Source organism: Homo sapiens, chromosome 13 (genome assembly GCF_000001405.40).
Source record: "Homo sapiens chromosome 13, GRCh38.p14 Primary Assembly".
NCBI lineage: Eukaryota > Metazoa > Chordata > Mammalia > Primates > Hominidae > Homo > Homo sapiens.
The window spans coordinates 98,922,599-98,944,141 of record NC_000013.11 but is presented as its reverse complement, the minus strand read 5'-3'; the positions used below and the strand labels follow the sequence as shown (position 1 = coordinate 98,944,141).

The window sequence follows — 21,543 nt, the reverse complement described above, 5'->3', positions numbered from 1 at the left end:
TCTTCTTTTCTTTTTAAAATAACATTTAGCTGACATTTTAAATATGTCAGAGAGAATGGTAAAATTCTACAATTGGTGGAATTGGATAAATGCAGACCATATTTGCAAACCAATGAGGCATAGAAGGACAATTTTATCTATGTGATTAGTGTATATGTCTTAGGATATTAAAGGTAATCAACAGGCATGGATAGAGGAAGATTTGAACTAAGGATGATATCTTCCGTCAGGGGTAGCTTAATCAGATGGAAATTTATGAAGTATATACTGTGTCTCTAGCATTCATCCCCTATCCCTCTTTATTATGATTATTTGTAACTATGAAACTGCTTTTTTTCCCCTAAATAGAAAATAAAGCCTCCATGAGACTAGAAAGCTGTAATTTTTTTTTAAATTGTAAACCATAGTTTTTTGAAAATTCATGTTTACATTTGCCAACATTCCTACAATAGTATTTTATCCATAGTAGACACTTAATAGGTATTACACAAATGAATGGATATGAGATCTTGGCACCAGTGGCCTTTGAGGTCATTAGAGCATATCTCAAGGTGGCAAATCATGGGAGTAGAAGTAAAGTAGACAGTAAATTTGCATGCAAAAACGAACACACACAAACGAAGAGTCCTTAAAGGAAATGGAAATCCAGGTTTTGGCCTTAGAATTCCTAGATGTCATTTAACGTATGACCAGGCACAAAATCTCTATGGTTCCTAAAACAAAAACAAGTCCAGCTATGTCTGTATCTCTGCCTTTTTCTACCAGGGTTGCCTAGAAGAACCTAGATAATATTGAGTGTGTCCCACATGGGTTTGAGCAACACCCTTGAGTGTGTGCATGAGATCCAAAGAGGACAGATTCAGTAAGTTTATCAAAGTCCCCTGATGTCAGAAGTCTTGAGTCACAGTGCCTTCCCCATCTGCTTAGCATTATATCTACAAAGCTGACTCTCCGCTGTGTTTGAAGTAAGGCTCTGGATGGCAGCCCAGGAGCTGAAATGCTGCTCTGACAGGAGCAGTGTGGCGCTGGTCAACTCAGAGGGATTTGAGTGAAATTATACTCAGTGCATAAGTGAAACCTTACATATGGATGATGGGTGGCACAGTAGGGAGTATGTCTTCCTAAGACAAGTCCCGAAGGAAAGTTCACTGGTGTATCGAGATGTATAAATACAGTCATGCACTGCATAATGACCTTTCAGTCAACAGTGGTGGTCCCATCAAATTATAATGCTGTATTTTACCATACCTTTTCCGTGTGTAGATATGTGTAGGTACACACATACTTCCATTGTGTTACGTCTCCCTACAGTAGTCAGCACAGTCCCATGTTGTACAGGTATGTGGCCTAGGAGCAATAGGCTACACCCTATAGCCTAGGTGTGTGGTAGGCTATACCATCTAGGTTTGTGTAAGTACACTTTATCAAGTCTGCACAAGGACAAAGTCACCCAATGATGCATTTCTCAGAATGTATCTCTAGCGTTATGCAACACGTAACTGTGATGGACATGTTTTAACTTGAAGCATATCCACTGTGCTAGATGTTCACACAGAATTATGGTCCTTTTAGCAACTAAAATAGAATTCTAAAGAAAGACAACCAGCTGGGCGCGGTGGCTCACGCCTGTAATCCCAGAACTTTGGGAGGCCGAGGTGGGCAGATCACGAGGTCAGGAGATCGAGACCATCCTGGCTAACACGGCAAAACCCCATCTCTACTTAAAATACAAAAAATTAGCCGGGCGTGGTGGCGGGTGCCTGTAGTCCCAGCTACTCGGGAGGCTGAGGCAGGAGAATGGCGTGAACCTGGGAGGCGGATCTTGCAGTGAGCCAAGATCGCGCCACTGTACTCCAGCCTAGGGGGACAGAGCGAGACTCTGTCTCAAAAAAACAAAAAAAAAAAACAACAAAAAAAAAAACATAACCAGAGACACATACAGACAACTGGAAAACAAAAGAAAGTAAAGAAAGTACACTTACTTACACCTACCTCAAGGTTGAGTGCAATGCACATGAAAGAGTTGGTAGGTGCTTTAGACACTAGAGGTAGTGACAGGACCCAAGATTTAGTCGTATGTCCACAGGGGTTTTAACTCAGGTCTGTCTCTTATTACTCTGATCCTTTCATAAGTGATAAACCTTCCTAAAACTCACTTTTCTTAATCTGTAATTCAGTGATGATATTTCCCCTAAAATTTGGTTCTCACAGATGTTTGAGAATCCAAAGAGATAACTACCATCCAGGAGAGCTCTGCACGCCCTTGCTACTGCCCTTCCATTGCTTGGCAGACGCCAGGTTACTAGGGAGCTTATTACAGCCTCTATTCTCGCCTCTAGGGAATGTCATTTTATTTTTGAGGAGGCTGTTTTTAGTTGCCATCCTCAACTTTAGTTGTTCAGCAGGCTCAATCCCTTACTAAATGGGAAGGCAGACATACCACGTGGGCCCCAAATGACCACAAGGCTACTCCTGGTTTTCTGGGTAACTCTCCTGTCCTCAGCTGTGCAGTAGTACTTAGCAAGTGATTTTAAAATTGCTTCTTTGTAAGACCAAAAAAATATATAATTCTTTACAAAAATGCACTTAATTCATAACTAGTTATTAAGGGTTCTGAACATTTATGTTATTTAGTTTACTGCATTTTAATAAACAATCGTGTGCTCTTCCATTTAAGGGATTTGAGAAGGTGGCAGAATGAAATTCATATGACTCTCAAAGTCTACTGAAATCTGACTTTTCAGGAAGCAGTACATTATTTGGTGAAAGGAACTGTCTAAAGTCTCACGTGTTGCTGAGACGCTGTCTCATTTGGAACCTCATGTGATCTCACAACTAAATTGCGCAGTCCCTCTTTTAAAGTCCCAACTTCCCATTTACTCAGCAACATTCATCTTGTGCCAGGTGTTCTGCTGGGTATTGGAGAATTAAAGATGAATAACATGGTCAGATTCTCAAGTCAGGCAGGAGACACAGAAGTATCTTTGAGTAATCTTAGCAGAATGGTACGTGTTCCTGAGACCAGTCTGAGCAACTTGGTGTCAGTCAGAGGGGCCTGGTGCATTAGGGAATCAGAAATAGTCCATGTTGCTGGACTGTTGGAGAAGGGCAGAAGAGTCCAGAAAAGTTAGTACGGTTGGTCACAAAAGGTCTTCGGTCATGCTGAGGAGTTTGGATTTTATTCTGGTGGCAATGAGGCGTCACTGAAAGAATTTCAGCTGAGGCATGATGCTATCAGATGAGAGATTTAGAAAGACAAATGGCAGGTGTGCAGAGAATAGATAAGAGGGATGATGGAGGGAAGGTGGGCCTACCAGTTAGGGTGCTGCACTGTGGTTTGTGCATCGCTGTGGGTACTTTGACATCAGGCAGAGTGAAGGGTGGCACTGTTGAAGGACCAGAGAAAGAAATGGGGGACCATGCAGGTGCCAGTGAAGAGGAGCAGTTAGAGAGGCAGAGAAGGCCCCCCCACCTCAAGACCACCAACAAGATGGATTATAGAATCTATGTTAGGTGAGCTTAGGCTCAAATAGTCCATGAGAAATGTATAATTCTCTGCTCGTATCAAGACTCAGCCCAGCTAGCTGCAGTGAGTCACGCCTGTAATCCTAGCACTTTGGGGGGCCACGGTGGGATGATCGCTGGAGCCTAGAAGGTCAAGGCTGCAGTGAGCCATGATCACACCACTGCACTCCAGCCTAGGCAACAGAGCGAGACCCTATCTCTTAAAAAACAACAAAAAAACTCAGCCCTTGTAATGTTTTAAATGTGTTCCTTGGGAATTGGCTTTCATTAAATCCCTTCCAGAAACCTAAATGGAATTCCTTCTTCAGCCTCTCTGTCCTATGCTTTGCTCCTTTTCTTAATTATTAGGGAATTAAACATCGAGGCTCTTTAGGCAACGCTTGCCTGAAAATGGAATTTGTCTGATGTTAATAGAACATCGTGGGTTAACTGCCAAGACATGAATTGTGAGGTAAAATGTGGGAACGCCCTGTGTAAATTTTAGTTTCCAGTCTAGCTTGGTACTGAATCCTCTCAAAAAGCAAGTCATATGCTCTGAAACAAATGCATCTGCCAGATAACTTGGAAAGGTTTCATCACCTCTGCACTCAGTAAGTTTCAGTGATGTTCCCAGAGTTGTTGAATAGTAATGTTTAATACTGCACTCGATACAAAATATTTAATGTACAGACCAGTGCAACCAAGTGGGGTTTCCAGCAGATATCAAAGGGACATAATTCTACAGAGACGTGAGGCACCATGCAGTTTGGCTGAGGCCTAGAGACAAAAGGAAGGAGCTCTTGTGAGCCATCTAAGAGGGAGTAGTTTGCAATCAGAGATAACTTTGGAACATGGACGTGGATGCTCTCCATTTGGCCCAGCTGAGAACAATAACAATTGAACCTAGGGTTAACTCAGTGAGGGAGATGGGCCAGGCCCAGGGAATGCTCCTGAAGAGCTCAGTCTTGCTCGAACCTCCTGGGCTTTGCTTTTTGGCTGCATCCAGGTCCGTCCGTCTCCTGAGCTCTGCATATTGTGCCTTGCCCCCGCCCCAGGCCCACCCTAAGATTTGCCCTTCCTTCAGCAGATTCAAGTACTATTTCTCTGACAAATGCATAAGGTCCTCAGGTGTTTGAAGAGATAGTTCTAAGTAAATGAAAACAAGCACAAAAATAAGCACAAGCATGGATGCTTTACATGAGATTACAAAGAGGGGAGAGAGGATTGATGGCTCCACAGTTTAGCCTAAGGGTAGACTGGAATTGATGGGGTCTGAGGCCTGCTGGGCTTCTCTAACAGGTGGTCACTGTGGACCCCGGGCCTTCTTCTCTCTGATTTTAGGTCATCCTCAGTCCTCAGAGAGCAGACCATCTTAGAGGCAGGACCCCAGGTACCCTGAAATTACCCTCCAGCTCCCTAGGTCTGCAGTCCTGCTCTCACTGACAGTTTCCTCCTGAAGAGAAGCATCTTCCCCTGTCCTGACTCAGTGTCTCAGTTGGAGCGCTGTGGTCTCCCCTTTCCTCGGGTTGGCTCTCGAGAACTACCTGGGAGGCTGCTGGGTACTCCCCATCTCTTCCTGCATCAGAGCCTGTGCTCCCCTTTTGGGCTGTCCCTGGTGTTTGTTTCTCTGTTGAGGGAGGACACTCCCAGCTCTCTGCACCTTTGAGCAGCAGAGATGTGGAGACACTTTGTCACTGGTTCCAGCAGCTGGCTCAGGTTACAGCCCACCCACTTCTCTGGGAGATTGTCTTTAGCTCATTGCTCATATGGTCCCAGGGCAAGGGTGGGCCTATTGTTGGTCTTTTAATTAAAATTTTATAAAATATGATGTTTTAAATATCCCAAGGATTTGCATACTTCCCACCAGGAATTAAGAGGGCTGTTTTGTCATAGTTTAAGCCCATTGTAAAGTAATTGATAAAAAAAATCCAGTGCCATGAGTTGAGAGGGTTAGAAAAATAATAGAAATCTTTGTTAATACTCACTCTTATATTTATTTAAATCTACATAGTGAATCTTCCCTGCCTTTTACCCAACGATTCTTTCCATAAAGAAAAATAATTAAGGTAATGCAACTGTAATTCAAAGCAAATATGGTATTCATCTTTTTTCTTTTTTCTGGATGCCTTTTATGTTTTAGTTTCTTACAAAGCAATTTCCAGCACTCAGATAAACCATTTGAGAGGAACAGACTTAGAATTCCATATTCACAGAACTGTGGGATTTTTAAACCACAAAGGAAACCTAGAGATCCTAGAAGACTGTTCTGTGGATGTGGAAAGTTCAAATATCCCCCAAGACTGCACAGCTAATTAGAGGCAGAGCTGGGGTAAGGACTCAGGTTTCCTGGCTCTCAACTCAAATCTCTTTCCAATATCATTTCTCAAATTCTAAGATCAGAAGTTGAATGAAACGATTCGCTTCACATTTCTTGTGGTTTGAAACATGAGCTTCTCAGAATCTCCAGCTTCAGTGGGGTCAGGGTAACGTATTGGCTGCTACTGATGGAGGCCAGACAGAGCCCCGGCCAGGTTGGGGTCAGGAATGTCGTTAGGAGAGAGGGATTCCACATTTAAGCTGCAGAGAGAGCAGTGAGTGATGATAGAAGCAGGAAATGCCAGAGGCCCCAGGGGTCGGCCCAGGTGAGGAAACAGGTACCTCCACTTGCTCCCTTTAGGTGGGCCTGCCCTGCTGCCCAGGGCTAAGTGGCTTCCCACAGTGGCTCAGAAACATCACCGTAACCCCAGTGTTTGGAGGAGATCATTTCAACTAAGAGGAAAAAACTTTTCTTTTTTTAAGTAAAAAGGATCTATTTGAAATTTGTCATTCCAAACTAGACTTGGAGACAGTTGTAAATTTCACTCTTTTTATTCTGGGAGCAACTCTGTGCTTTTCTAGCTCATTCTGTTAAAAAAAAAAAAAAAGCAAAACAAAAAACTGTCCCATAAATATTGAGACTGGGGCTCTCAGGTATCTGTGCATCCTCATATGAGCCCTTTGGGAAAGGATGTCACCCTTTTTTCTTCCTTTTTAATTATGCCTGTGATTTTGTGGAACTTCCTATAAGACTCCTGTCCATATTTGCTGAAGGTAACTAAGAATTTCTTAGTGTCAAAGGCTACGTGTTTAACCTAAGTAATAATATTGACTGAAAATAATTTACCTTCTGTTATAATAGCTAGGAAAGGGCTTTTATCTACCTATCTGTCTATCGATCATCTATCTATCTATCTACCTATCTTTCTTTTTTTCTTTTTCTTTTCCTTTTCTTTCTTGCAGGTGCATACCTTGGTAAAGGGCTTTTATTTTGAAATTATGTTTGTGCTGTGAAGATTTCTATCCAAATAGTTGTGTGAGATGCTAGCAATGTTTAGGTTTAATTTTCAGAACCATATTACACTAATTATGGTGTGAAATGTTTTTTCCCCTTTCCCTTTTCAAATGTACAGATTTATTAGCGGAATGGAAATGGCTTGTTTCCAAACATAGACATAGGACTGGTATGCTATGAATGCCCACCTTTATGTTGGGCATTCAAATGATGTTGGGCATTGGGTCTATATAAAGTGGATATAGACCTATCTTTTAGCAGAAATATGATTTTAACTGATAGAAAAGTAGAAAAGAATGCCACAGCTATGAAAAAGAAAACTTGACTTATTGTTGAGAAGGGCTTTAGTGCTTTTGGAGTATAAATCTCTTAGTATTGACTTGGACTTCGCTATAAGCTAAATAAATAAAACTACAGAAATTTAGTGTGAATTAGTTTGGCATAAAGTAGATGATTATCTGAATATGACTTTTAATACATAAAATCTGTGGAGAAATTAAAACAGAGTGCTCACTCATGCTATAGTCTTCCCTTGTCAGTTCCTATAATGGACCAGATAACTTTTTGTAATAATAGGGAGAAAAAACTTATATGCAAGTAATGGATGGTTATTGGTAGGTTCCTATTTCTGTCTCCATTGACTGCTTTATTCATTCTTTTCTTTCTTTCTTTTTTTTTTTTTTGTTTGAGACAGTGTCTCACTCCATCACCCAGGCTGTAGTACAGTGGCCTAGTCACAGCTCACTGCAGCCTCGAACTTCTGGTCTCAAGAGATCCTCCCATTTCAGCCTCCTGAGTAGCTTGGACTCGAGGCGCATGACACCATGCCTGGGTAATTTTTTTATTTTTAGTAGAGACAAGGTCACGCTATGTTGCCCAGGTTGGTCTCGAACTCCTGGTCTCAAGCAGTCCTCCCACCTCGGCCTCCCAAAGTGTATTTACTCATTCTTGAAACATTTACCGAGTATTTAGCACATAGCTAGAAATAGGAAGATGTATCTCCTGTTCTCAAAGGAATTTGCAATCTGGTGGGGTAAAGAAGGGCATGTGGGTACAGGAGAGTTTTGGATAATGGAGTCAGGGTTGACTAGCTGTTCAGACAGGTCTCGGGGTGGTTTATAAGGTCACCATGGTACAGGATCAGACCTCAGGTTTGCAAGTCCAAAGATGGGATTTGGTCACCCAGAGTGTTTCAGGCTCAGGGGAACTGACTTGTTGCAGGCAACCCCACAAGAGCACAAACCAGAATGTCATTTTATTAATATGCATTGAGAACTAGAATTCACAAGCAGATCAGAATACTACACCGGCTGTGCATTTTCTCCCAGTAGGAAAGTCTAAATGGGAAGCATATTATAAACAAGTGGCTCAGTGAGGCTGTACTCAGAGCAAGGGCAATGAATTAGAAGACCTTAGCAGCTGGTGGTATCAAACATTGACGGCCCCATTGGTGCCAAGCCTGGTAGTCCTCCCCTCCCCCATGGGTCCAGCCTAATGGGTTCCAACCTTTCTTTTATTATTATTTTTTATTTATTTTTTGAGACAGGCTCTCATTCTGTCACCCAGTCTGGAGTGCAGTGGCGTGGTCTTGGCTCACTGTGACCTCCGCCTCCTGAGTTCAAGCGATTCTCGTGCCTCAGCCTCCCAAGTAGCTGAGACTACAGGCGTGCGCCATCACGCTGCCTGATTTTTGTATTTTTGGTAGAGATGGGGTTTCACCATGTTGGCTAGGCTGGTCTTGAACTCCTGATCTCAAGTGATCTGCCTGCCTCGGCCCCCTCAAAGTGCTGGGATTACAGGTGTGAGCCACCATGCCCAGCTCCAACCTTTCTCTGAAATAGTGATAGAGACACTGACAGAATTCCTCCAGCCATGGAAGCCTGGTTCTTTCTGTTGGCCTATTCTTATCCCAGATGTGGACTTTTAGTGTTGTTTAATTCAAGATCAGTAAGAATTCTAGGCAGTTTTTCCTTTGACTTAAGTTTTTAGTTCTAGGACTTAATGGATATATTTATTTATTTATTTATTGGCAAAGAGTTAATCTCATTCATTATATCTTAATTTTGTGCTTTGAACTTCCCAAGGGCAAGTTTATCTCCATGTTTCTCTTCATTTTGTACTGAATATGACTTGTGCTCATCCTTTACAGTTTAGCTTAAGTTAATTTTAGCTTTCCCTCAGTGTACCTTTTCTTGATGTCCTCTTCTCTACCTTACTGAATTTAGACTCCCTAACTTTTTTCTCTCATATCATCCTGTGCTTCTGTGCTCTTTTCTCTATACTCTTCTGTACTTATCACACTCTAATAATTATTTCCTCATCGTCCTCTTTCATCAGACTGTAAGCTTTAAAAGAATAGCAACTATATTTTATTAAACTTTGTGTCTCCAGCTGCTAGCTCAGTGTCCGGAAGAAAGTAGGGACCCAGTAAGGTGTGGATAGATGGATAGATGAATGGGTAAAGTAACATTTATGCTGAGTCCTTAAATGATCAGTAGAATGTTTTTCCTAAGACACTACAAACTACTCTCAAGATCCAACAGGCATTTACTGTATCTTACTTGACCTCTTTCGTGGCATTGACTTGAGTGGAAGGGTGACTGTGGAAATGAGATTGCAGCATAGTGTATCTCCTCACTTCTGTCTTAACTCTGTAGTGTAGCTAGTATTTGAAATCCATTTTCATGAAAATGCCAGTATTCTTCAGTACTGTAACTTGGAGATGTTCCTAGTGTCTTACAATCTTGTTTTGGTTTTCTGTTTTTGAGTAACAAACCATCCCACAGCTTCGTAACTTAAGACAATAATTTATTATTTTTTGCAATTCTAAAATCTGGTCAAGGCTCAGCTGGGTGGTTCTTCTGTTTTACACTGTCTGTAGGAACTGGAATGTCCAAGATGGTTCTTCACTCACATTGTAGTATCTCGCCTGCAATGGCCGAGACCAGCTGGGAGATGGTGGGGCATCTTGTATATATCCTCTTTATGGCTACCTTGTACTTCCTGTCACCATGGTGGTCTCAAGATGGTAGAACTTATATGGTGACTGGCTTCCAAGAAGGAGGTAACAGAAGCTCCCAGTTTTTCTAAAGGCTAGATTTGGGCCTGGTGCAATGGCTCATGCCTATAATCCCAGCACTTTGGGAGGCTGAGGTGGGAGGATTGCTTGAGCCCAGGAGTTCAAGACCAGCCTGGACAAAATGGTGAGACCCCCCGCCCCCATCTCTCCAAAAATTCAAAAATTAGCCAGGCATGGTGGCTCATGCCTGTGGTCCCAGCTACTTGGGAGGCTGAAGTGGGAGGATCACTTGAGCCCAGAACGGCAAGGTTGCACTGAGCTGTGATTGCCCCACTGCACTCCATCCTGGGTGACTGAGTGAGATACTGTTTCAAACAACAACAACAACAACAACAACAACAACAACAACAACAACAACAACAGAGGCTAGGTTTATAACTGATCATCATTCCTTCTATCTCATTTTGTTGGTGAAAGCCAGCCCAGATTCAGGGAGAGGGGAGACAGGCTGTGCCTTTTGGTGTACAGAGCACTATGCATAGACGAGGAAGGATAGCAGCCATCTTTGGAGATTATCTGAAAGAGATCAAATAGTGTGTAGTTCAAGACATGCACGAAGAAATAGCAGTTATGCTACACTACGTATGTACTAAAGAAGCACACCTAGTTTAGTTTAATTGGATGAAGTCTCTGGGGGAGAAAAAGGGCTCTGTCTGGTCAGAAAACTATTCTTTGTTAACATCAAGGTTAGGAATTGATGAGTAATGGTTAATGTGTAAACCTCTTTTAAAAATGAGAAACATCATGCTATCTTATCTGTTAAAACTCAGGTTTCTCTCCTCCTGTGGAACATACATGAAGGAAAAAAAAATTCAGGATTCTGTTTAATAATTTAAAGTTACTTTTTTTTTTTCCAAGTGAGAACATAATGGGACTTTGATATAAGAGAATAAAAAAGATCTATTTCCTTTTATTTTTCTCACCTTAGAGGGGTGTTTGGAAAAGTGTCCCATAATTAAAGTTTCTTGAGTTGGTTATTCTACTGGGAAATTTTTGTCATAAAGTTTTTCTTCTTAATGTTAGGATGAAGAATGGCCTAGAAGTGACCCTAATAGTCCTATTTCTTGATGTGAGCTATTTCATGAATGTTTTAAAAGTATGATAATTAGTTTCAAAAATCTTGAAAGACCCAGATAAATCAGATCATAACACAGTTAGTGGGAACATAGAATGTATACTTTTTGAGGTAGCACCCGTCCTTCACAACAGTTGTGACAGTCTATATATATACAGTATATTGCTTTGTAGCTTTTTGTACAGATTGCGCCTGTCTTCCATGCTTATGGTCACTCATCTCTGTGGCATTTCACAAGAACAGATGTGTAATAAAGGTCACTGTTTCTTTGTAATACTTACAAAGAAGTCAGGACCTAGGAGGCTGAAGGAATAAATAATTTACCTGCCAAGGACTTTGGTGAAGAACAGAATTCATTTCTTCCACTCCTTTAGAATGGGGAGCCTTATTCTAAAAATAGGCTTTAAGATTACTTTCAAAGATAGACACAGTGCAAGAAAAGAATAAATATAGGTGAAGCAGACACAACAGAGAGAGAAAATACAGGCAGGAAATAAATTGTACACAAAACACATGCCCTGAAGTTCTCCACCTAGGCTGGAGGGATAAGGGAGCAGAGGTTTGACCCAAAGCCACCTCTAACCAAAGGAAGAAAGGAAACTGCCAGGACCAATGCTGTGAGATCCCAGTGTAGTCATTTGCCATGAAGAGCTAACAGGGTAGATTCTCTCAGCAAAATGTTTGCTTGTATGCTGCTTTAATGACTATGATCTGTTTTTTTGTTTGTTTGTTTGTTTGTTTGTTTGTTGTTGTTTTTTGAGATGGAGTCTTGCTCTGTTGCCCAGGCTGGAATGCAGTGGCACCATCTTGGCTTACTGCAACCTCCGCCTCCCGGGTTCAAGTGATTCTCCTCCATCAGCCTCCCGAGTAGCTGGGATTATAGGCATGCGCCATCACACTCAGCTGATATTTTTGTATTTTTAATAGAGACGGGGTTTCACCATGTTGGCCAGGCTGGTCTGGAACTCCTGACCTCAAGTTATCCACCCACCTCAGCCTCCCAAAGTATTGGGATTACAGGCGTCAGTCACCGCGCCCAGTCGACTATGATCTGTTAATAGTACCTAAGGGTTACAGTCCATAGGAGAAAAAAACTAGAATATTTCTTTCTGAAACCTGAAGCCCAGGCCGGGCATGGTGGCTCACGCCTGTAATCTCAGCACTTTGGGAGGTTGAGATGGGAGATTGTTTGAGCCCAGGAGTTTGAGACCAGCCTGGGCAACATGGTGAAACCCCATCTCTATTTAAAGAATAAGGCTGGGTGTGGTGGCTCACACCTGTAATCCTAGTGCTTTGGGAGTGTGAGGCAGGTGGATTGCTTGAGTTCAGGAGTTTGAGACCAGCCTGGGCAACATGGTGAAACCCCATCTGTACTAAAAATACAAAAATTAGGCGGGTGTGGTGGCGCCCGCCTGTAGTCCCAGCTACTCAGGAGGCTGAAGCATGACAATCACTTGAACTTGGGAGGCAGAGGTTGCAGTGAGCCGAGATCATGCCACTGCACTCCAGCCTGGGTGACAGAGAGAGACTCCGTCTCAAAAAAATTAAAAAATTAGGCTGGGCGCAGTGGCTCACGCCTGTAATCCCAGCACTTTGGGAGGCCGAGGTGGGCAGATCACGAGGTCAGGAGATTGAGACCATCCTGGCTAACACGGTGAAACCCCGTCTCTACTAAAAATACAAAAAATTAGTTGGGCATGGTGGCAGGCGCCTGTAGTCCCAGCTGCTCGGGAGGCTGAGGCAGAAGAATGGCGTGAACCCGGGAGGCGGAGCTGGCAGTGAGCTGAGATTGCGCCACTGCACTCCAGACTGGGCGACAGAGCGAGACCTGTCTCAAAAAATAAAATAAAATAAAATAAATAAAAAAATTAAAAAGAAAAAGAAAAGGAAACCTTAAGCCTAGTTATTGAGGTAGACAGGATGCTACCCCTGCCCTGTCATTTTATTTAAAAGAAGCATTTAAGCCTAATGAACACGAGCAGTTCTAATGTCCGTTGGAGGGGAGGTAGCATTCACAGTTCATAGATTCATTTAGCAATTACTGATTGAGCATCTTCTGTGTGTCTAGTTATCTATGCTCTTAGGCGCTGGGGATGTGGCAGTGAACAAGAACAGATGTAAATGACAAGAGATGGATGGTGGTGATGGTTGCACAATTGTGTGAATGTACTTAATGCCACTGAACTGTATACTTAAAAATGTTCAAAATGGCTGGGCATGGTGGCTCACGCCTGTAATCCCAGCACTTTGGGAGGCCGAGGCGGGTGGATCACCTGAGATTAGGAGTTCGAGACCAGCCTGATCAACATGGAGAAACCCCGTCTCTACTAAAAATACAAAATTAACCGAGCGTGGTGGCGCATGCCTGTAATCCCAGCTACTCGGGAGGCTGAGACAGGAGAATCGCTTGAACCCGGGTGGCGGAGGTTGCAGTGAGCCGAGATCCCGCCATTGCACTCCAGCCTGGGCAACAGAGCAAGACTCCATCTCAAAAAAAAAAGTTTCAAATGGTAAATTTATGCATATTTTACCAGAATAAAAAAAGGCAGTTAAGACAAGTAAGATGCTGTGTCATGGGGCTAGATCAAGCACTTAGGGGTGGGGTGTTAGGGACTTTGAACGGGGCCTCTACCCTGCGGGAAGGGCTGAGCTGGAGGGATCTGTGGGCCCCTGATCAAGAAAGAAGCAGGAGCTGTAACCCAGCCTGGCTTTGGAACTTGAGGCTGCCCAGTGGAATCTGTTGTGTGTGACGGAAGGAGGCAGCTGCACTGGATGGGAGAAACTGGAGGGACTCTGTGGCTGCCAGGGCCAGCTGCAGGGCACACAGCTGCACTCTGAGGCTGGCACCTGCCTCCTTCACTTACCCAAGGCTTTTCCTCCTGTTTTTGTTTCCAGACGGCCATCCTGAGACGACAGGGTCGATACATATGCTCAACAGTGCCTGCGAAGGCGGAAGAGGAAGCACAGAGCTTGTTTGTTACAGAGGTAAGGCTCTTTCCTGCATTAATTTACATTTTGAAGTCATTTTCCCCTAACTGCCTCCTTTTCTTTAAATTTCAAAATTGTCAAGGAAGTGTCAAAAGGGTAATTGTATTTCTATGATGGAAGTTCAAATAGAATAATGTGAATTTTTCAGACTCTGAAACTTGGACAGAAATGTCCACAGGGGCTATTTCTTTTTTACATTTTTATTATTTTTAAAACTTTATTTATTTGGAGGGGGCTATATCTGACTACAAAAAGTGAATTCCACAGAATTTATCTCATGGACTTAAAATAAGCAGTAACTTGTAAATGAATTCACTGGAAATCTGTGGGAGGTCTTGTTATTGATACTGTTTTTAAGGGTGACACACACATTTATGTATCATTTATTTCATTTATACATTTATATTTGCAAGTTATTTTTGACTAGTATTCATGAAGTACTAGCTGATAATAAGCAGGGTCTATCGCTAGTCAATATATATTATTATATATATTGATTACTATATATATTCCTAATCAAGATACATTGATTAATATTATTTTTGTTTGAAAATGCAAATAAAATTATCTTATGGAAGAAAGATAAATTATTTACTTTTTTATTTTTATTTTTATTTTTTGAGACAGAGTCTTGCTCTGTTGTCTAAGCTAGAGTGCTGTGGAGCAATCTTGGCTCACTGCAACCTCTGCCTCTCCTGGGTTCAAGTGGTTCTCCTGCCTCAGCCTCCCAAGTAGCTGGGATTACAGGCGTGCACCACCACGCCTGGCTAACCTTTGTATTTTTAGTAGGGACAGGGTTTCAGCCTGTTAGTCAGGCTGGTCTCAGACTCCTGACCTCAAGTGATCTGCCCGCCTTGGCCTCCCAAAGTGCTAGGATTACTGGCATGAGCCACTGTGCCTGGCCAGAAAGAGAAATTATTACAATTTAGGTTGTTTGCTTTAGTTTTTCCCCTTGGAGTGTTTGTTTTTTCCTCCAGGTAATTTTAGGTAGGAAGGAATAATTAGATGTTTTAATTTTGTTTCTTTAAGTGCACCTTCATTTAAAAATAATGATTTTTTTTTAATCCTGGTTTTTCTAGTTGATATTTAGATCATAAATATGCTCATCAATAAAATTGCTTACTATAAGGAAGCTATAAATACTCTTATAAAGACCAATTAAATAACAATATTTAATTTCCATTGAGATTTTTGAAAAATTAAATATAAAATTAAAAAATTTTTAAGTGTGTTCCCTCATCTTTCTGAAGAAGTAACTTCCTGTCTTACCTCCTTTGCCACTATATTAGTAAACTTAATTCCAGACAAATACAGCCAGATATGTTTGTGAATGTAGTTATAAATGTCTTTTTAAGGCAGGTAGTGGCAAACTATGACCTGCAAGCAAAATCCAGCCTGTAGCCAATTTTTGTAAATAAAGTTTTATTGTAAAGCAGCCAAGCACATTTGTTTACATATTGCCTATGGCTACTGTCACCATGCAACTCAAAGTTAAGTAGAGATAATATGACCCTCAAAGCTGAAAATATTTATGATCTTGCCTTTTACACAAAAAGTTTGTTGACCTATGTTTTAAAGCATGTGGCAAAATTATTAATTGCTAACTCAGTTCTCCCAGTTGATTAAAAAAATATGGTTTTTTGAGGGAGAACTCTCCATTAAGTTATTTAATCACTGCAGGTTGAGCAATAGCTGCTTCATCCTATGCTGCTGGAGCCAACATAACTAAACACTTTTGGGACCCTTCCACTTGGGTGGAGTGAACATCACTTCCTCTTCATCCTCTGATCCAGGGAATGACCTAATGGCTTAAAACAAAGCAAAACAAAGCAGAAAAAAACTTCAAAAACCTTTCAGTGTAACTTCAAAATATTATTGAATTTCACCAGTTTGAAATGTTAATCGTATAATCAGTCAGTCACATTCCTGTCTTTTTGAAGGTACAGTTCTCAGGATCTGGCTTTCTGATGGAACTCCTTATCTCCTAGACTTTCTGCATCCCCAGAGGGGTGGGGGTTGCTTGCCTAATTCTGTGCTTCTGCTTTGGAATTTAGCCAATGCCTGCTATGTAGATGGTCAACACTGGCTTGTTAAATCAATGAATCTCTAAATACTTAGCCAGGTTCACTGTGGAGTTTTTTTTTGTTTTTTTTTTTTTTTGTATGTGCGATTCCTTATAATTATAAATATATGAACATAATAAACTGTAATTATTTTCCCCATTTTGCCTAAGGTATTAAAATCTTGGCCAGGCGCAGTGGCTCACGCCTGTAATCCCAGTACTTTGGGAGGCCGAGGCGGGTGGATCACGAGGTCAGGAGTTCGAGACCAGCCTGACCAACATTGTGAAACCCTGTCTCTACTAAAAATACAAAAAGTAGCCAGGCGTCGTGGTGTTCGCCTGTAATCCCAGCTACTCGGGAGGCTGAGGTAGGAGAATCGCTTGAACCCGGGAGGCAGAGGTTGCAGTGAGCCAAGATTGCACCACTGCACTCCAGCCTGGGTAACAGAGCAAGATTCCGTCTTAAAAAAAAATAAATAAATAAATAAAAATCTGGGCTCCATTCATAAATGCATTTATAATATACAAATTTATGCTGGTTTATTTAGTTTTTAATTGGGCAGGTACATTTTATACTTCAGAATAGTTTTAATGTCCTGCAGGAGACTTGGTGGTACAATTTCAGTTCTAGAGCTTGTTGAAAAACCGCTGTAGCTCTTTGAAGAGAATAGGATCACACCCACAAGACCACGTCGTACATAGTCAGGCCTGACTACTTAGCTGTGCCAGTGGACCTAGGGGCAGTAGTGGGAAAATCCAAAACTATGGATTATTCTGAAATCTGACTGGTTTTGGAATGAAATTTTGAGTGTGAATGTATGATACTCAAAATGTGAAAATGCTTTGAGAAATCTAAAAAAATCATTTTCAAGGATAAAATAGCATTTTAAAATATTCTTAACTACAGAGTAAAAAAATCAAAAAGTTTGCCAGCTCCAAAATCTGACTTTGCGCTTAGCCCTTCTCTGCCATTTATTCCACCTCTCAGAATAATTTTAAAAACTTACATTACCTTCACATCACACATCACACCCTTGCCAGTAAAGTGCTTATTGTAGAGCCTGGCACAAAATAAGCACTTGCTGCTGTTGTAATTCTTACTTTCATGAGTTTGGAGGTGGAGGGGAGTTTGCTTCAGAAGACCTTCAGGCATGGCCTGTGACACAGATAGAAAGGTTGACAGTAGAAACGATGAAGTGAAAGAAGCAGAATAGAGACGTTGTTCATGTTAGTTACAGCCAGAGCCAAATAAACTAGATAAGGCATAAATACATTTATCGACCTATGTTTTCATTGATTCACTCATGCTTTTTTTCCACCCACACTGAAGTCTGCACATAAATAGTCAAGTGCTGACTGGACAGAAGATCATTTGAACTAAGCTGATTTTAACTAAAATTCTTTAGCTTTTGATTTTGACTCATTCATATTTGAAGATCTGGTGGATGTGGCATTATAATCTTAGGCTTTATGCACTATTGGAGGATCTTCATGGGTGGATGAACGACGGACACCAGGCTGGCCCATTGAATCTGTCATGTGGCGAGGTAGTTTGAATGCAGTCTGTGTAGGTGAGGTCACTAATAGAATCCTTGGCAGTGGAAGACTACATTAAACATTCTGTACACACACACAGATGAAAATGTCATGGTGCTAATATTAATTGGAATGCATATGTTTCTTCCTAATTATTTCACTCTTTTCCTTATGAATGGAAAGAAAAACTGAGGGCAGATTTATATGGTAATATTAACTAACAGAGCTAGCTAGTTCTAATATTAGTAAATACCATGAAGGCGTCTTTAAGTTCACGCATCCTATTCACTTTTATGTCATAGTAGAGGCCACATGGCTTTTTAAGAACCAGGTGCTTACTCTGAAATAGTCCATTGTTAAGTAAATGTCACAAGGTTAGGTGAAGTTGTCTCCTTGTAAAACCTGCTCTCAGATCATTAATGATGATAACTTAAAGTGATACTACCCCCAAGGGTAATGTTTCAGTGGTTCAAAGTCTCAAGCTTCACAGGAATCTCTGGTGGTGGAATTTCAGGCATTAGCTCGTTGATGGGAAAAAATTTTTTTGATGTTTCTATGGGTATGCCTTCACAAACTTTCCCAAGTGTTTTCCAAAAATCACGTCTTTCTGTTTTTTATTTTCTATTTTTAAAATCCCCCTTCAATAGTGCATCAAAACCTATAACTCTGACTGGCATCTTGTGAACTATAAATATGAAGATTACTCAGGAGAGTTTCGACAGCTTCCGAAGTGAGTAAGCTATATTATACACATAGGGAAAAGTCTTTGTACTTGAAATGCTTGGGGGGAGGTATGTAACTTCATATGCAATCAGAGTAATTGAGGAAAATATTTTTAGATGGTTTATGTGTATGTGGTGTAACTATTGTTTACAGGGCCTTTGATTGTAAGACTCAAACATGCTACTTTGGTATTGATAGGTAGTAATAAACATGTGGATGGTTTAATTATGTCCAGTGGTTCTTTTCAGGGTACCACTGATAAATAAATAGGTGAAATTTTTTCACTACAAAATATAAAACAAACAAAACGTAAGTGTACTGAAATATGCTGCAGTGCATTTTTTCCTTGAAAAGAATATTTTGAAGAAGATAATTATAAAGAGCATTTTACATTGAATAAATTTTATGTTTTTAAAAAAAGTAAATCAAGAAACAAGCATTTTCCCAGTTAAATTTTTTTTTTATCTCCTTTAATGTATTAACTTATTCTAGACTATACCAAAAGCAAGTGTATTTAGATTGAATAGTTGTGGCCAAAGTGAATCGCGGTAGCTAGGTATTGCCTTGACAGACTATCTTTTATAAAAGGTTCCATTGTGTGTTGCTTTAAAGGAATACCTGAGACTGGGTAATTTCTAAAGAAAAGAGATTTATTTATTTATTTTTATTTATTTAGTTTTGAGACAGAGTCTTGCTCTGTCACCCAGGCTGGAATACAATGACACGATCTCTGCTCACTGCAACCTCCACCTCCCAAGTTCAAGCAACTCTCCCGCCTCAGCCTCCCGAGTTGCTGGGATTACAGCCACTTGCCACCACGCCCGGCTAATTTTGTATTTTTAGTAGAGACAGGGTTTCACCGTGTTGGCCAGGCTGGTCTCGAACTCCTGAACTCAGGTGATCCACCTGCCTCTGCCTCCCAAAGTGCTGGGATTACAAGCATTAGCCACCGAGACTAGCCAAGAAAAGAGATTTATTTCGCTTATAGTTCTGCAGGTTGTACAAGAAGCATAGCACTGGCTTCTGCTCAGCTTCTGTTGAAGACTTTTGTGCTGCTTCAAAACATGATGGAAAAGGTCAAAGGGAAAGTTGGCACTTGTGAAAAGAGACCAAAGAGGAGGAGGAAACTCACTTTATAACAACCCATTCTCTTGGGTACTAATCCATTTCAGCAACAAGTAATCCCATCTTGCCAGGAACAAGAATTCACTCATTACTGTGAGAACAGCACCAAGCCTCTCATGATGGATCTGCCCCATAACCCACTAGGCCCAATTATGCAACAACGGGGACCAAATTTCAATCTGAGTTTTGGTGGGAATAAAAACCATATCCAAACCATAGCAGTTGGCAAATTGAATTATACTTGATTTTGGGAAAATTGAAAGCAAATAGTGATGGATTATGTTTTAAAACTAACCATCACCAATGAAAATATTACTTGAGACCTGATTAATGTATTTTTCTTTGCGTTTGTTACATCTTTGAGCTGGAACCTTTTATGCGGTTCTCAGTAGACCTAGCTGTTTGTTTTTCCTCCTTGTGTGGCTTTGCCACTCCTTAAGAATGTTCGGCCAATTCCCCGATTGCCTCTTTTTAAACCTCAGCCAGGAACACTCCCTCCTAGTATTATCTTCTCCAGATGGGTAGCCCTTTAGTTCTATATTTACCCAATCCTCCCTTAGGGATTTTTTAATTCTTCCCATTGGATTGGCTTAACCCATCTTTGTTGATCCTCTTGTTCATAGTCTCAGGGTTGAAAGATATCAGACTATGTCATGTCGTATACTTACTATCTAATAGACTGCTGGTACATTTTCTCTCTTGGCATTAATGAGAATTTCCAAATGTGTGATGAGAAAGAGAGGGAGAATTGTAACAGTGGTGAAGAACACAGATTCTGTGTTCTGCCTCAGACGACTCTGCCGTCTGTCAGCCTGATTTTCCTCATCTGTTAAATGGCCTTAACAACAGTCACCATGATTAAAGGATTAAATGAGAGGGCACATGAGAAGTGCGCAGGGCCTAGCACGTCATACCCATTGAGTAAATGTAAGCTGCTTATTGGTATTGGTGTCTTGTTTTTGTTGTGGTTAATACCATCATTGTTAATCGGTTTCAACGCAACAACTCAATCTTCCTTTTTTTCCTCATAAACTTTGTATTAAAAGTTATTCTACCAAGTCTTTGTTTATTAAAAACTAATCCACTTTCTTATTTTTAGTATGCCTGCTAACTCCCCAGAAGCTATGCTGTCTTTTCCACATAGCTTTTTGGAGCTTTCTTACTCAAGTCTCTTGGCTTACCCACCTTGAAAAGCAAGGGCATAGATGGTTTTATTCTTTGTCTGAATAAAGAAGCTGGGCCATCTTTGGATTTAGTAAAGGCCGGGCCCTATGATGGAGGAAGAAATGCAAAGCCTCTTCCTTGACTAGGCATTTCTAAAACAAATTTTCTTTGTTGTTTTTATAGCAAAGTGGTCAAGTTGGATAAACTTCCAGTTCATGTCTATGAAGTTGACGAGGAGGTCGACAAAGATGAGGTGGGATACCTGCTTGCTGTTGCTTCTCTTTTCACTCTAGATTTAAACATCAATTTTACAGACTTAGAAGATTAGTTAGAAAATTACCGACATTTAGCCAAAACAGGCATTGGAGTGTTACATGAAACGGGAATAATTTTTTAAAAATGTTATTGATTGATTGGAATAAGGTCTCTGTTTCAACTTTACTGCTTAGCATTTCATGTTCTCTTGGTTGTGTTTATTTGTTCTGAGATCATTTTCAAAGACTTGGATCAGATCTGGCTACATTGTTAAAAGATATCAAGATGACTTAGACCTTGAATTTAGGTTGTTTTTCAACAGATCTCGAAACAGCTGCCAGCCAGTAGATTTAAATGGCTATTTCTTCAATGATTGCTTTTAGTGAAGTCTGATTTGATCAAGCCCACTCCCCCTATTCCTAGAGGAAAGCTCATGGCTAAAGAACTATATAAAGGGAGTAGGGCATTGAGATGAGTCTGCCCACTGAGTGAGGGAAACCTCACAAGAAGACAATGCCCATCTCTGCATTTCTCATCCTCCCCATTGATTGTTAAGTGTCCCATTGTGAGTTTAGGTTTTTCCTTCTTTAAAAAAATTGTCAGCTGAGCTATAACATTAGCCACTCATTAAGCAATGTGCATGTAGCAAATTATTTTTATTCCCCCCATCACTTTATCTCTCCTTTCTGTATTGCCTCAAT

The 21,543-nt window shown here is 41.0% G+C and overlaps 1 protein-coding gene across 43 annotated transcripts in view, besides 2 other annotated features; it reads left to right on the top strand.

Moving 5' to 3' along the window:
* The window catches only part of DOCK9 (dedicator of cytokinesis 9), a 295,191-nt gene that overhangs the window by 144,478 nt on the left and 129,170 nt on the right, over positions 1 to 21,543 (top strand). For all 43 annotated transcript variants that reach the window (XM_047430231.1, XM_005254035.4, XM_006719937.4 and 40 more), the window contains exons 3-5: positions 13,885 to 13,974; positions 18,223 to 18,305; positions 20,771 to 20,840. In XM_047430231.1, the coding sequence (XP_047286187.1) occupies positions 13,885 to 13,974; positions 18,223 to 18,305; positions 20,771 to 20,840 (243 nt within the window). The remainder of the gene's footprint in view (positions 1 to 13,884; positions 13,975 to 18,222; positions 18,306 to 20,770; positions 20,841 to 21,543) is intronic.
* Positions 13,203 to 13,755: an enhancer, noted in NCBI's record as "H3K27ac-H3K4me1 hESC enhancer chr13:99582641-99583193 (GRCh37/hg19 assembly coordinates)". NCBI's record gives its function as "activates a minimal SCP1, AML or CMV promoter by ChIP-STARR-seq in primed H9 embryonic stem cells {active_cell/tissue: H9 hESC(primed)}" and the evidence as "EXISTENCE:reporter gene assay evidence [ECO:0000049][PMID:30033119]".
* Positions 13,756 to 14,308: an enhancer, noted in NCBI's record as "H3K27ac-H3K4me1 hESC enhancer chr13:99582088-99582640 (GRCh37/hg19 assembly coordinates)". NCBI's record gives its function as "activates a minimal SCP1, AML or CMV promoter by ChIP-STARR-seq in primed H9 embryonic stem cells {active_cell/tissue: H9 hESC(primed)}" and the evidence as "EXISTENCE:reporter gene assay evidence [ECO:0000049][PMID:30033119]".